The 15,852-nt window shown below is 38.4% G+C and overlaps 1 protein-coding gene across 38 annotated transcripts in view; it reads left to right on the forward strand.

Moving 5' to 3' along the window:
• ZMYND11 (zinc finger MYND-type containing 11) overlaps nt 1–15,852 on the forward strand; it is a 124,550-nt gene that overhangs the window by 96,468 nt on the left and 12,230 nt on the right. For 26 of the 38 annotated variants that reach the window (NM_001370103.2, NM_001370104.2, NM_006624.7 and 23 more), the window contains 6 exons: nt 10,283–10,360; nt 11,030–11,122; nt 12,883–12,970; nt 13,501–13,556; nt 14,338–14,415; nt 15,466–15,584. In NM_001370103.2, coding sequence (NP_001357032.1) covers nt 10,283–10,360; nt 11,030–11,122; nt 12,883–12,970; nt 13,501–13,556; nt 14,338–14,415; nt 15,466–15,584 — 512 coding nt within the window. The remainder of the gene's footprint in view (nt 1–10,282; nt 10,361–11,029; nt 11,123–12,882; nt 12,971–13,500; nt 13,557–14,337; nt 14,416–15,465; nt 15,585–15,852) is intronic. The other 12 variants (NM_001370115.2, NM_001202466.3, NM_212479.4 and 9 more) reach the window with 5 other exon arrangements.

The following is a 15,852-nucleotide window of genomic DNA, read 5'->3' on the forward strand; positions in this document are numbered from 1 at the left end:
TAAATGCAGTTTTCATATTTAGACTAAAATTATCATTAGGAAATAGAATTTAGGGCTTTAAATTTTGTATGATGTGCTTTTACAGTAAGTGAGTTACAGAGAAAGTGAGTAAATGGGAAAATTACAGTGAGCTACCCGTTTTCTTTTCCATACTTGGCCCGCTGAAATGGAATACCGCTCCACTGAAATCCCTCCAAAGAGTTTTGTCTTGGATTTTTACAATTGCTTGATAATATTAAAATTTTATATTACTATTCTTTATATCATTAACAAACTTTGGTGTACATCCCACTTTGAAATAAAAGGATCAAATTAAGTCACAAAAGACAAAGTAAATAAGTCAAGGTAATACAGAGGTGACATATTATTCCAGTATGTCTTTAAAAACTGGAAAAGACTCGTCCCCTACAAATGTTTCAGGTGGCATTTTTCTCTGTTTAAGGATCACAAGTTTTAAATTTTATGTTAATGTACAAATTGTAGGGTGAATCAAAATCAGCCCACTTAACAAGATGTAGAAACACAAGAAAATGCAGATGAGGAAATAAAGAAGAATCTATGTGGAAGAATTTTATTACTAATTTCAAAATACTTTGGTTCTACATCTAATCCAAAAAGCTCTCCCGAATTTGCAGCACTTGATTCTCTGACTCATGTTCTTAAGCAAGAGAGCTGTTTGGTGGTTCTTCCACGTTAGTAGGAACTATTCCTAAAATTTATTTGCTCCTGCCCTTCTTAAAATACTCAGAATGATACATGTTTTGCAGGAAAGTTAAGACTTTAAAAATGGACTCAGGAGTCTATAGAAAGCATTTAAAAGTAAATTTTAACTTGGAATGTTAAGCCTCATGTACTTTTTAAAAACTCACCATTGGGAGTCCACCTGGAGCTTTATCAATTGGGTACAGACTGGCATGTCAGTGTTGACTTAGGTCTGGGTAGGTTATGTTTGAGCCATTTGTACTGTAACTTTTTGTTGTTGAGATAGTTAAAGAAAAAAAAATCATGATGAAGTCTCTCTGTTGAAATTAGAGAAATTTGTTTCTGGATACAGTTTTCATGCTTTTGGGTATGTAGGCAGTACAGTCTTTTTAAATTCCAACAGTAAAGAGAATGCCCATATAATGTTTAGAATGAAAAATGGGATCAAATGCTGAATGAAAATACTTTGAACATAAATTCCTTATGTATCTATGAAGCTATAACTGCTCTTGCTTTCTGATCAGGCATATTTTAGTGTGGGAAATTTATTAATATTTTCACCCCAAATGTAAGTACTTTTACACTTTCAAGATACATATTAACAAATCTAGAATGGAGATTTGATTTTTAAATAAGTAGAGATTGAAGCCATTATTTTCTTAAATAGTAGACATAGTATTGAAAACAACTAATGAACATTAATCAAATATTTTTACAATTTTTAAGACAACTTATAATTTTATACTAACAAAAGGAGAAAGTTAATTTTAGAAAGATTGTGTCTGAGCCACGCACTTTTATAAGGTAAATTTGCAGTTCACCACAAGCTTAATCAGAGGAAAAAATAATGGGAACACTGATAAAGCCAGAGGATTTTAAAAATTGGATCTACAATATAAAACTATAAAATCCTATGTATTGTTATCTAGGCCCAAAGAAGAAGAAAAAAAGCTCATATAATTTACTGTATTACCTTCCTGTGGTGAATTTAACAGTGGTTATGATCAGAAAGGATATGACTGTGAAATGTTTTGTATGTTGGTGTATTTGGCCTTTGTGATCTATGTTTTGGTGGTTTGTTTAGAATCTTATTCGAAGTTTATCTTTTATTTTCACTCTAAGGGATTGAGAAGGTGATAGTTGGGGTGTTTCCTATATCAGGATGCTTACAACTTAATGTAGATTAAATGGAAAGCTCACTCAGTGTTTCCAAAGTTCATGAACAGAAAATACTTACAAAGTACATGCAGTTTCCTTGTGCTACCTCTGCAGTGCAGAAGCGATGAGAGGGAGTGGGAAGGTAGGTAGTACTTACATTGGCTGGATGTCAGCCCCGTTAATCAAAGAACAAGTCATATTCATGCCTCGACCTGAAGACAGACACATTTAAGTTATTTTCTGAAAAGAATGGAAAGATTTATTCCGCTGAAGAACGCATTCTGCCTCTGCCGTTCAGTCTTGTTCTTCCTTTAGAGACTAGTGTTATGTAGAAGGGGAAAGGAACAAGTAGATACCAAACCTGTGTTCCATAAAATTTTTCTCACTTCCCTTTCCTATTCCTAAGTCATATAGCAAGCCACCGAGGGGCTTAAAGTTACCAGAAAAAGTGCATTAATATTGAAGGATAAAATTTCTGACATGCATAGCACCCTTCTCTCTGTAGATAAATACTATTTTAGCAGGTGTGTGTGTGTATGTGTGTACCTGTGGGCATAGTGGATTTAGAAATACTACATGTTTTTTTCTATCACGGTTTGTTTTGTAGACTATATTTGAGAGATGCTTTCATAGTTACTAAGTCAGCCCAGTAGTAGACTGGCTGCTACAAAGCTGCTCATATCATGTGAACTCTTGATCTTAGTCAAAATTTGTTATCTTCCTTTAGAGAAGAAAGAGTTGGCCTTGTAAAAATTAATAAATGTAGATACAGCCACAGTGGCATTCAGTGGCATTTTGTAAATGTGGATGAACAATTCTTGTGCGTTAGTAATTCTGCAGGACTAACTTACTGACTAAGGAGTGGCCTGTGACTGGAGTCTCATTTGCCAGGATGTTCTAAGAATCCACCTTGAGACGTTCTTAGTAGTTTGCATTATCTTGAGTTCCTACTTTTACCTGTAATAAGGCATATTTGTGATAGCTTACAGGAGGTTTTTAAACTTGAATTCTTATAAGTTAAAAAAACTACTCTCAGTTTTTTTACCTGAGAGTATCTTATCTACCAGTTGGCAGATAATCTGTGGGAGTTAGGATGTGGCTCTGTGGAATCCTGTGTAGTTTAATGTGATTCGTTCCATAGGCAGAAGTGGGTAGGTCGAGTTTTCTACCATTAATACTAGCAATTAGTGTGATGTACTGTTCTTCAGGTCTAATAGGTAGGCCATTTCAGTGTGTCAGTACTGGGAGTGAAAAAACCGAACAGGAGTGTATTTTTAGAAAATAGTTTTAGAAAATGATTTTCACTGATGGGCTACTTGAGTCTTAGTGGTTTGAAGGGAGAAGTGGCAGGACAGGGTAACTCATCACCACTTCCGCTGGACCAGCTTCACTTTTAACTTCTCAATTATTGGGACTTCATATAAATTATGTGTAATTCCTTTATATTCCATTGTTGCAAGTGGGCCTAGACGATATTACAGAGTGTTTTGATTTCTGTAACAACATAGAATCAAAATAAATTTTTAAAAAGCTCCTAGATCTCCTCTATAATCTCAGAACACAAAAGAATCAAAATAAATTTTAAGAGAATTTTATCTAAGAGAATTTATTTTGATTATTTTGTTTTCTGCTATTACAATTATAGAGGAGATTTAGGAGCTGTTTAATCCCTAAAACGATATAAGTAATTTATGTGTAGATTAGTATTTCTCCAAATAAGATCTAGAGGCCACCTGTACAGGAATCACCTGGTGAGCTTATTTAAAACACAGTCTCCTACCGAGCGCGGTAGCTCACGCCTGTAATCCCAGCACTGTGGGAGGCCGAGGCGGGCGGATCATGAGGTCAGGAGTTCAAGACAATCCTGGCCAATATGGTGAAACTCTGTCTCTACTAAAAATACAAAAATTAGCCCAGCATGCTGGTGCGTGCCTGTAGTCCCAGCTACTCAGGAGGCTGAGGCAGAAAGATTGCTTGAACCCTGGATGCGGAGGTTGTAGTGAGTTGAGATCGCACCACTGCACTCCAGCCTGGGCGACAGAGTGAGACTCAGTCTCAAAAAAAAAAAAAAAAAAAAAAAAAAAAACTACAGCCTCCAGGGTTCTACCCCAGACAGGCTCTGGGGGGTAAGGCTCAGGAATCTACATTTCCAGTAAGTGCTGTAGGTGGCTATGCTCACTAATATTTCAGTGAGCTATTGGTGACATTATTCTTGATTGTTAGAAGTCAGCAATTGATATTTCAGTGTCATCTGGCAATAAAATGGTTCACACATCAGAAATAAAATTATTTATGTTGGTCAGAATATGCTGACACACAGACTTGGGTATAACTGCTTCACATTTTAGATGGGTCCTCATATTCTTGAGTTTAGCTGCATGGAATAGTTTCTCTAGTAGGCAATGAAGCCAGTAATGAGTGGCACCAGTTCAATTCAACTGATACGTATCGAACGTTTACTGTGTGCCAGATGCTATGCACCGCTGAAATTGACATTATGGACCCTGCTTTCACAAAACTTACTCCCTCTAGGGGTCAACCTGTGTATGTGTACTGCCCGTGAGCTAAGAATGACTTTTACGTTTTCAGATTGTTGAAGAAAAATGACAAATAATACTTTGTGACATGAAAATTATAAAAAATTCAAATTTTAGTATCCAAAAGTTTTATCGGAACACAGCCACACTCGTGATGTATGCATTATTCACGATTGCTTTGTCATTACAACAGCAGAATTAAGTAGTCGAGACAGAGACCAACCACATGGTCGCAAAGCCTAAAATATTTGCTCTCTGGCCCTTTACACAAAATGCTTCTTGACTTTTGGTCTAGTTTGTTGTGTAAAGAATATACTGAGTATTGGGAACGCCCAAGAAAGTTTGAAGCCCTTGTCTCATTTAATCACAGACATGGGGACTTGGCTGAGGTGAACTCTAGCTGCATAGATAAATATGTCTGAAAAAAGAAGTCTAGATTTCCAATTTTGCACTTCATTCCTGCTTTTGGATAGTCAGTGAACCAAAATGACCAAGATCTCCACAAGTTCATTTTCTGCCAAAATAGGTTTCTATGACTGAAAAACTATATCGCTATAAAGAACTGAAAATTCTGTACTAATAAAGGTATTCAGTCCTGAATGCCCCTTTAAGTAATGATCCTTGGGCATCATTATCAATAATCAGCTATGGATAAACTTGGACAAGATCAGGAGTGGCCAATAGTGTCTTCCAGGCAGAAACACCGAAGGGCACCATGCTTTGTCTGTTGTTTCTACCTAGAGTCATCCGATTCAGTGTAGCCTGGCAGTTACTTACAACTGGCTTAAGAATCCCTTGTTCAAGATGTTCAAATTTTCTGTTATTTTTTTCTTAAAGGAGGCAGCCCCAACATCTGCTTTAGTTCTTACGCAAACGTCTACAACCCTGCTTCAGACATGCGATTACCGTCACTTTTAAATACAACAACTTTGCCATCTCATAGAATGTTTCTTTCTTGATGATTTGTAAAAGTTGACCACAATCACTCCCGTATGCCACCAGGTGATACGAACTCTGGATTCTGACCTGAACCCTGTTACAGGGAGGCCTTGGTTGAAGAATCCTCAGGCCTGCAAATAGAGAATAGGAATAATTCTTCAAAGCCTGAGAAAGAATTGGATCAGAAATAATCTGTACATATTATAAAGCATTGTTTTTATGTTTTTCTGACCTTGTTGTCAAGAGCTATCTGCTTAGTTTACTTCAGAAGCTACCTCTTTCTTAGTTGTAGCTTTTTCTCAAGTCATTGAAAATGTTTTGGTCTGGCTGACAGGTACCAGCTGAAGCACTTCAGCGTGAACGCCACAGAAAGTGGCTCCACGGCTTGTTACCTTAGAAATCCCCAGAAATCTCCTTGAACAGACCTGGGACAGAATGTGCAATGTCCTGTTGATTTCTTTTGTGAAATACCAAGTCTCTAAATTATAACTGGAAAGTCTTGGAAAGAAAACCCTCAAGTTTTTCAAATGTGAAAGCATCTTACAGCAAATGTTTTGTTCCTACAAATCATTGGGAGGGATTTTGGTTCTGTCGAGAGTCCTCTTTTTTGTTTGTGTCAGTTCAGCGAGAAAGCTCCTCAGCCTGTGAATCTGGGAGCAGCTTCTGTCGGCCTCTGTGGCCTTCCCTTGGGTAGTGTGAGGCCCATCACAGAGCAGTGCTTGAGAAGGGCTTCATGGTGTCCGGAATAGATCCCTCATTTATCACCAAAAAGGTGGGTGGGGCAACAAGTAGATAAAAGGAACATGGAAGCTTTCAACAAAATAATCTCCTTTGACTGTGAAATTCCGTTTGGTCAGTCCTTCTATACAGCCCAAATCATTGACGTTTCTAACTGTAATAACTGAAGAAAAAACCAACCCAAATACTTAAAACATAACTCCCATAGCACTGTTAGCATATAAATGAGAGAAGTATTCCTCTTTGTGCAGTAAAGTCGATTGAGAGCATCCTAGAGCTGGTACGTTAGGGTTCAAAATAAAAACTCAGGTTAACCTCAAGATCCCTTTAAAAGAGCATTTGAAGATACACCACTTTACATCTTGTCAGAACACCAGCAAAGGTTAGAATCAGGGCTGCTGCACCAGCGTGCGCTTGTCCGTGTTTACATGACGAGGTCTCTTAGGAAGTTGGTGCAGTGCTCTTAACCACACCTATCAGAAACCCCTGGGGGCTTTTAGGACTATGAATGCCTAGACCCCATCCCGCAGCCGATTGTATCAGAATTTCTGGGGGCGGCACCTGAGACATCGGTGGGCTTTTTCCTTTGAGGTAAAATTCACACATACACTGACATGCACAAGTCTTAGCTGTGCCGTTTGAAGAACAGACAAGGGCGTGCACTGGTGCAGCCAAGTCCCATCAAGCTACGGGGAAGCTCGCTCTTGTCCCTGGGCCAGTAGATCCCCACTCCCACGCCCTCTCCCCAGACAGCCATTCCTCTGATTATTTTCCGTGAGGGATAAGTTTGGCCTGTTCTAGAACTTTTTAGAAGTAGATGTTGATGTTTCTTAAAGGGTTCCCAGGTGGTCCTAACGTAATAAACACTTAAGTAGGATATCTGAATCTGAATGGTGCTCTGTTAAAATGAGGTAGAAGACATTCCTGGGGTAGTTATGAAGGTAATATCTTCAAAGAATTCTGGAAGTTTCATCAGAGTTGAGAAGATGGGGTGGGCCCTACCCAGATGACCTTGTTTCCTTTCATGCTTTACTCACTCATTTTTCCAGGCCCAGATGACCACTTTTGACTGCACTCAGAAGGAGACAGATGCTCTAGCAAACTAGTTCTCAGCAAATTTAAACAGACAAAATCAGACTTTCATCCTCTATTATACCATTTAGTTTTGTGAAATTAATTAAGGCACTCAGCATGAACTATATGCATTCTGACTTCCCCAAAATAGGGAAATGTTGCTTGCACATGGTGACACCAAATTAGCAGTTCATTTGAAAATATTTAAACACATAGAACCAAGTTTATGAGAGCGTGTAGTATCTACAATTTATGTGAATTCTCTATTTAAAAAGATAGAACCTGAATATAGACCTTTATTTAAACTGGGTAATTACATGAACAAGTGTTACCTAAACTTCCGTAGTACCGTTTCAAACTAAGAACAATCTAGTTAAGATGTTTTAGCAATAGTGATATTAATTCTGATATAAAATTCTGATTCTAGCAGTGCATAATCTTTGCCCATATAGAAACAGTGGATGGCTTTATTTTCTAAAGAGTTAGAAACAAGAGACGTGAAAGCGCAGAAAGGAAACAACAACAACAGCAACTCCTGCACATAATGCAGCGCACGGCGCCTTGAGACAGAAGCAAGAGGCCTTGTGCTGGATGCAGCCAGGCTGGTCAGCAGGGCTCAGGCCTCCTCTCCCACTGTCACTACTCAAGGGACCACAGAGCCTAGAGCTAACATCCAGAGGGGAAGGGATTCCTGCCTTGTTGAAATGATGGAAGGCTGTGCATGATATTTAGTGAATATTAAAATTATATTTCAGCGCTACATAACAGTGTTGGTTGTATCTTTCCTTTGAATAATATGTTTCCTATTAAAGGAACTATAACCCCACTGATAGTATTACAAGACTTCTAACCTGGTGTAGATTGCTATTATGTCTGAGTTTAGATAAATTCATATTTTAATGACATTGATATTTGAAATCAGTTTTAATAGTGCACCCAGAGTTTGAGTTGGCATGAGAGAAGGCCATGTAGCTAGAAGCATGTGTTTTTATTCTCCTTTTAAGAAGAATGTACATTTTATAAGCGCCAAGAACAACGTAGCAATCTCCAGCCTTCTTACGTTTTCTCTTCCCTGTATCTGACAGTTCATCAAACTGCTTACTTAGTACAGAAAGCAGTGCACCGAAGCATGTCCATACTAGTAAGTAGCTGATTGATTGTGCTTCAGATCCAGGGAGAGCGCCTTCTGCAGTCCTGTGAGACATGCAGAATGCAAAAATGGAGGATCATTTTTTACTGTGGTCTAGTGTACAAGAGGTGCCCGCTAGTATTTCGCAAATGTGTGTGTGTGTGTGTGTGTGTGTGTGAAAAGCACTGGGGATCTTGTTAAAAAGGAGAGTGGTTTTAAGTGTTCTCACTACAAAAACCAGTTAGCTCTATTTCGCCATTGCACGTATTTCAAAACATCACATTGTACACCATTAAGTATATATAATTTCATTTTGTCAATTAAAATTTTTACAAAGTTTTTTAAAGAGTGGCTAACCAATGCTGCTGACTAAACAAATTTAATAACTAGAGTTCAATGTTTGTTTAAAGTTTTATCTCTCAACAGTGCCTGTGGCCAAATACTGTGCTAATAAATTGCTTGAGTGAGTTCTTCATATCCTCCTTCATGTGGCTGTGTCACTCATTTTAAATTCAGTTAAGTTCTTCTGTTAGTTTTCAAACAGAGAATTCTCAAGTTATATCAATTTGTCTCCCCCCGCCCCCACCAGAAAAAAAGATTATAAACCCAGGGCTCAGGAAATTTCATTGCACTTTATATTCCATATCTATGCCATGGACACTCTGTCTTGGCCATGCGTCAGTCACCTGAGGAATAAACAAATGAACAAGCAAATACGAATCACAGGCCCTGCCACCAGAAGTCACAACCCAGATGCTCAGCGAGTGAAGCCCAGCCACGTTGTATAAAAGTTTAGTCCATATCTCTGATGCGAGGCCAGGGTTGAGAAGAACTGCTCTGTAATTGGCGTAAACGGAGCAGCTGTGGGCACAGGCCACAAAGCGGCATAAGGAGAGGGCACTGACTGCGTTGCCAGAGAACCTAGGTGAGAAGTGGGGTCAGGAAGGTGCAGTGCAGACATGAGGTAAATGAAATTCAGTTTAGTTTCTCACTAATAAAATGTGTTTCCACTTGTTATTTAGATATTTTATGTGTTTATAAACAGTGTACGTACGTATAATCAATTCACTTAAGCCCTAGCTAAAAGTTCTCAGTTATGTGAGAAATATTTGTCCTTTCCTCTACTGTATTTAGTGTACTGAAGTGACTTCCTATGCTTACAGTTCTTTCAGGAAGAATTATACCATTGGGCAGAGAATCATTATCTAGTGACCTGAAAAAGTTAAAGCATCTATTAAAATAGTGGCCACACCCACTCATTTCCTCTGCAGTATGAACTGATGATGTTCGCGTGCCTGGAGTTTTGCCTTTGCTTCCTTTAGGCTGTTGTAATATCAGGGACTTTGACTAAGGAAATAGGCACACTTGTCCTTGTTTCCTAGCTGTTTAGAAATAACATGCGTAGAATCCTATTTTTTCTTCATGTGAAGTTAGACTTTTTTGGTGCAATAAATTGAGGAACCTAATTAGCTTGCAGGCTAGACTAAGAGTTGGAGTTATTACTGAGTAGATCCATGGTGCTCAGAAATGGAGATGTTAGTATGCAGCTGCGCTGTGCAAAGTGAGTGACACAGATTTTTAAAATTACCTTTTAAACGAAGAATAATGTTGTATTGAAATTCACCATTCATTATTGCTAATTTAAGATGTTCCCTCAAAGGACTTAGGCCATTGATATTGTTTGTAAAATAAGCGATTATCCCTTATGTCTATTATTTGTTTATCTAAAAATTAAGTTTTAAAATACCAAGAAAAGAAAAAATATATAATCCTGTAAGGATATTATATCAGGTACAACATAATATTTTAAAGTTCTCACCTTGTTACATTAGATGCTGTTTTTTTTATGCAAATGTCAAAGATTTCTGTCAGATATGTTGGAAAAAGAGCACTTTTAGTAAACTCTTTGCATACTATCTAAGTGTTTCATATATGTCTTTTACATGAATATAGACATAAGAATGATCAGATTTTGTACCTTTTTTTATTCTTTTTTTTTCAATAGAGCATTAAGAAGAAGAATACAAACAAACAGGAGATGGGCACATACCTCAGATTCATTGTCTCCCGCATGAAGGAGAGGGTGAGTCCTGCTCAGGGAATCTTTCAAAATATCCCAAAACACATTTTACTATGGTTCATTCTTTCAAAGTTGAATGATCGAGAAGTAACAAATATGTACATAGCAATATGAAGTGTGGAGAGCACCCCGTCATGTCATATTTCTTTTTTGCAGTAAACAGTTCTATAACAGGCAGTTAGATTTTCTTGTTTTGTCTGTTTTGGACATAGACATTTTGACATAAGCTACATGAGATTAGAAACATTTACATTTTTGAATTTCATTCATCAGAATGAACATTTTCATTGATGATGACTCTTTAAAATGAAAGGCAATTTTTCAAAATAACTATTCTATCACAACTTTAAGGAATGTCATATTAAACTATATAGTAGTATATGTACATTTTTTCTGTTAAGTTTTAAAGTACTTCCTCTGAGATTTTGCTTTAAAGGTAGAAAATATTGGCCGGGCGCCGTGGCTCCCGCCTGTAATCCCAGCACTTTGGGAGGCCAAGGCAGGAGGATTGCTTGAGCCCAGGAGTTCAAGACCAGCCTGGGCAAGATGGCAAGACCCTGTCTCTACAAAAATAAAAAATAAAAAGGTAGAAAATATTTTGAGCTTTAGGAATTGATGTCTTACCTGCCTTCCTTTAACCACATTTAAATTGATGTACTAACACCCTCTTAGGCTATAGATCTTAATAAAAAGGGGAAGGACAATAAACACCCGATGTACAGGAGGCTGGTGCACTCAGCTGTGGACGTTCCCACCATTCAAGAGGTAAAGTCGGTTTCTTTTATTTCCACTTCAAGTACATTTTCTTAACTAACAAGTTAAAGAATAATGTAGCAGTTAAGCAGATTTTGGTTGCTCTTCTTTCCTTGAAAGTGTACTTTTTTCCACTTCCTAAAACAAAAGACAGGCATAACTACCAAATGAAGCATTATTAATTTGTAAATTTCATGTGCTTACTCTAATGCAAATTAGGTGTCATCTTTAAAAGGCCTGGTTTTAAAGATGAGCAGCTTGTAGCTTCTTGATCCTTGTTGATTTAAGAAAATGCCTTACAGCCTGGGCAATTTAGCATTTCAGATGTAAAGAATGTTTTCCAGGTTTAGCAGTGGTACCTGAGAGTTCCTCTCAGAAAAAAAAGTAAAGCATAGAACTGATCTGCCGTCTTGGGAAACAATAAAATGAACAAAAAAAATTATGATTAGAAAAGTTAATTATTCTTAAAGGTCTTAATTTTACCAACTATAGCTGAGGATTGTTAGTTTGTTCACGTCCAGTAACAAATTGCAACAACATCCAGTAGAACACGTAGACATATTTGCAGTCAGGGTTACTGAATTACTGATTTTGCACCTCATGTGTCATGTTGGAAATTTAAAATCTTAACGCTTGGTCATTATAGCCTATAGGGAGACCACAGGAATAATTTTAAATCATCTTACAAGTTTCTTTTCTTTTTTTTTTTGAGACGGAGTCTCACTCTGTCGCCCAGGCTGGAGTGCAGTGGTGTGATCTTGGCTCACTGCAAGCTCTGCCTCCCGGGTTCACGCCATTCTCCTGCCTCAGCCTCCCGAGTAGCTGGGACTACAGGCGCCCGACACCACGCCCACCTAATTTTTTGTATTTTTAGTAGAGACGGGGTTTCACCGTTTTAGCCAGGATGGTCTCGATCTCCTGACCTCGTGATCTGCCCGCCTCGGCCTCCCAAAGTGCTGGGATTACAGGCGTGAGCCACCGCGCCCGGCCACAAGTTTCTTTAGTACCCAAGAAAGACTGTGGCTGTATTATTTCAATATAAGATAAGGGTAAATGAAGGTTTTTCCCTTAAAGTAACTGGTAAATCCTGGAACAAAACCAAGTAGTTTTAATTTTACCTCCTACCCCCAGCCATAGCCCCTTCTAAACTGTAAGACCTCTACAGAATATGTAAGAACCCAGACGCCCCTTCTTCCCCACTGCCTTTACTCATGCAGGTTCCTTCCTGTTGAAATCCTCTAAGATTTGTCACAGACAGGGACACCTGAGATGTTATTTTAAAATTATTTATAAACCAATTCCTAGCCCCAATTCAGAACTATAAATATATCTTAGTAGTTATGGTAAACTGTCACAGAGGCTAACAGTTCTGTTTTCAATCTCGATCCTCCTGTGTTGTAAAGAATGACAGGTGTGTGCTTAGGGTCTCACCGCCCACACTGGCCCAAGCATTCGTGCACTACCAAGCTTAGCAGCAGCTTTCTACATTATTGTCAAATGAGATGTTCAAGCCATTAAAGTTCACTCTGATAAATTAATGTAGTGTCTTTGTGGCTGCGGGATATCTGACCTGCCATGCTTCATTATACTATATTATTAAAACCGCAGGTGGCGTTGTTGGCTTCTTTTACACACATTCTCTGTCAATACTGTGGGATGGCAGTAGTCATCCTGATGTCATCCTAGAAAAGACTGCTTGTCCTGTGAACTTAGTCCAGACAAGTATTTTTACTGGTAACTCTTTTCGTCATTCTGTTTTTTGCCCTCTGCAGAAAGTGAATGAAGGGAAATACCGAAGTTATGAAGAGTTCAAAGCTGATGCCCAATTGCTTCTCCACAATACCGTGATTTTCTATGGAGGTTGAATATTTTTGTTTTTTTTGTATGCATTTTTAAACACACCATTTACATTCCATGTTGAACACTATCTTTTATAAAACATTACTTTCAAAGAATTAATACCTTAATGATCTACAAGTTTAGAGTATAAGGTTAGGAATATCTGGTGATATAGATTATAGAATGGACTGGCCAAAAACAAAATCATAGTATACTAAATGATGAAAACACAATTACTCTTTACAGTTTTATATGTATTTGTTTTAGCTGAGAGGTTTTTAATAAGCACTATGATTAATTCTGATCATTTCCCCACTAGTACCACATCATCCAAAGGTAAGGTCATTCTCTATACCCTGAGAATTAGTGGTTGTATTGGATGGAAAACAAAAGCTGCCTGTGTAATTTTATTTTGCTATCGTTATTTTAAATGGACATTTTGGTTTGAAATGGTAGATGTCTACTTTTGCAAACTGAAAGAAAAGGATAGTAACTTTGAGTCTTGTATTTGCAGACTATTGCTTATAGGTAATATCTATTTTTAATTACAGCAGACAGTGAGCAAGCTGACATTGCGAGGATGCTATATAAAGACACATGTCATGAGGTACTATTCATTGCCCAATAGTTATACTCTTTCTATAACTGAAATTAATTTATTTCAGGATTCCACTCTTATCTACATTTTAGTTGTGCCATTTCCTTTAAATGTCTTTTATTGCCGGGCGTGGGGGCTCACGCCTGTAATCCCAGCACTTTGGGAGGCCAAGTTGGGCGGATCACGAGATCAAGAGATCGAGACCATCCTGGCCAACATGGTGAAACCCTGTCTCTACTAAAAATACAAAAATTAGCTGGGTGTGGTGGTGTACGCCTGTAGTCCCAGCTACTCGGGAGGCTGAGGCAGGAGAATCGCTTGAACGTGGAAGGTGGAGGTTGCAGTGAGCCAAGATTGCGCCACTGCACCCCAGCCTGGTGACAAAATGAGATTCTGTCTCAAAACAAAACAAAAAAAGGTCTTTTATTTTCATGTTTGACATACATGAGGCAAAGGTAAGGACTGCTGTGATTGGCAGCAGATATTGTTACCTTCCTGAGGAATATTCAGTCTGAAGTGCTAACCAGTGAGGTCCGGGCAGGGCCCAGTCAGACCAGCCTCAGCTTCTGTTCCAACTGTGGCCTGAGACCAGCGACATGGTTCTAAGAGGACAGTGACAGGGTCTTCCAGTACCATTTATTGAAAACTTTAAAATTTAGGCTTAAAAGATTAAGAAACAAAATTCAACACTATTTATATACGTGAATGTTAATTTACATGGATACATTTTATATAGTTTAATGTGTATGTATATTTTATGTAGGCTAAAGTAGTTTCTTTTCTTTTTCAGCTGGATGAACTGCAGCTTTGCAAGAATTGCTTTTACTTGTCAAATGCTCGTCCTGACAACTGGTTCTGTTATCCTTGTGTATGTGAAATTTTTACCTCAAGTGTGTAACATACAGCTCTAAGGAAGTTTATTTCCAGTTTGGTTAAAGATTATAATTTTCTTCCTAAATTTTTAAAATATCATAGTATATATGGGTTTAATGAGTATAAACAACTGAAAAAAAGTAACAGGGCTTGTTATCCATTTCTGATTTTAAAATGAGATACTGAATAAAAATAAATATTGGGTCCTTTTTCTTTTTGAGACAGGGTCTCACTCTGTCGCCCAGGCTTGAGTGCAGTGGTGTGATCTCAGCTCACCGTAGCCTTGACCTCCTCCAGGCTCAAGTGATTCTCCCACCTCAGCCTCCAGAGTAGCTGGGACCACAGGCACACGCCACCACACCTGGCTAATTTTTGTATTTTTTGTAGAGATGGGGTTTTACCATGTTGCTCAGGCTGGTCTCAAACTCCTGAGTTCAAGCAGTCCTCCCGCCTCGGCCTTCCAAAGTGCTGGGATTACAGGCATGAGCCACCACACCCAGCGTCTGGGTCCCTTAATAAAGTGAATTTTTGTTTCTCCTTTCATCCTTTCACAAGAGACCTAAGGCTTTGCCTTTGTCTGTAGCTGTATAATTTCCCCAAAATAATACAGCTTCAAACCGTGCACTGACAAAGGGAATTCTGAGCATTCTTGGCCGGCAGCCTTGGCTGCCTGAGAGAAGCCAGCCCTGTGAAGACAGTACTGTGCCAGCCTAAAATTTCCCCATTTCTAACAAATTCCCAGGGGTGCTGGAGCTGCTGGCTCCCCAGCTGCACTTGGCCAAGCGGGTGCTCTTGTTTGCCACCGTCATACATGTGGATGGCCTTGCTCCAGTCCCGACCTCTTCTGAGGAATAAGGTTCATGTTGGCACTCTGATGCAAATATAAAATCAGTCAATCCCAGAAAAAAAATCTCGTATGTGTTTAGGAGTTATGAAAGAAATATTTTAGAAATAATGGATTATATGTGACTAGTTTAATATTAATGGTACACTTGCATTTAATACTTTAAAAGTAATATAACAAGGTAAAACATTTAATTTCCAGATACCTAATCATGAGCTGGTTTGGGCTAAAATGAAAGGTTTTGGGTTTTGGCCAGCCAAAGTCATGCAGAAAGAAGACAATCAAGTCGACGTTCGCTTCTTTGGCCACCACCACCAGAGGTAATTTGTGATCCCATGTTCAGCGGTCACAGCTGTGCTTATGAAGTCCTTAAGAAAGTTTGATGATTTCTCCATCAGAGATGCATGAAGTTTATTTTAAATTGGAAAAAAAAAACACATTATGCATCCAAGAATACGTTCCAAGATAAATTGTTTCCAGATATTTTTCAGATATTGTGTACTAAACAGGAATTTTTAATAACTGACACTGTTGAACTTCAGAAGCACATTACGGTTAAGACTGAATTTATAGTACAGTGGGCAGAAG

The sequence above is a fragment of the Homo sapiens genome, chromosome 10, assembly GCF_000001405.40.
Source record: "Homo sapiens chromosome 10, GRCh38.p14 Primary Assembly".
Taxonomy (NCBI): Eukaryota; Metazoa; Chordata; class Mammalia; order Primates; family Hominidae; genus Homo; species Homo sapiens.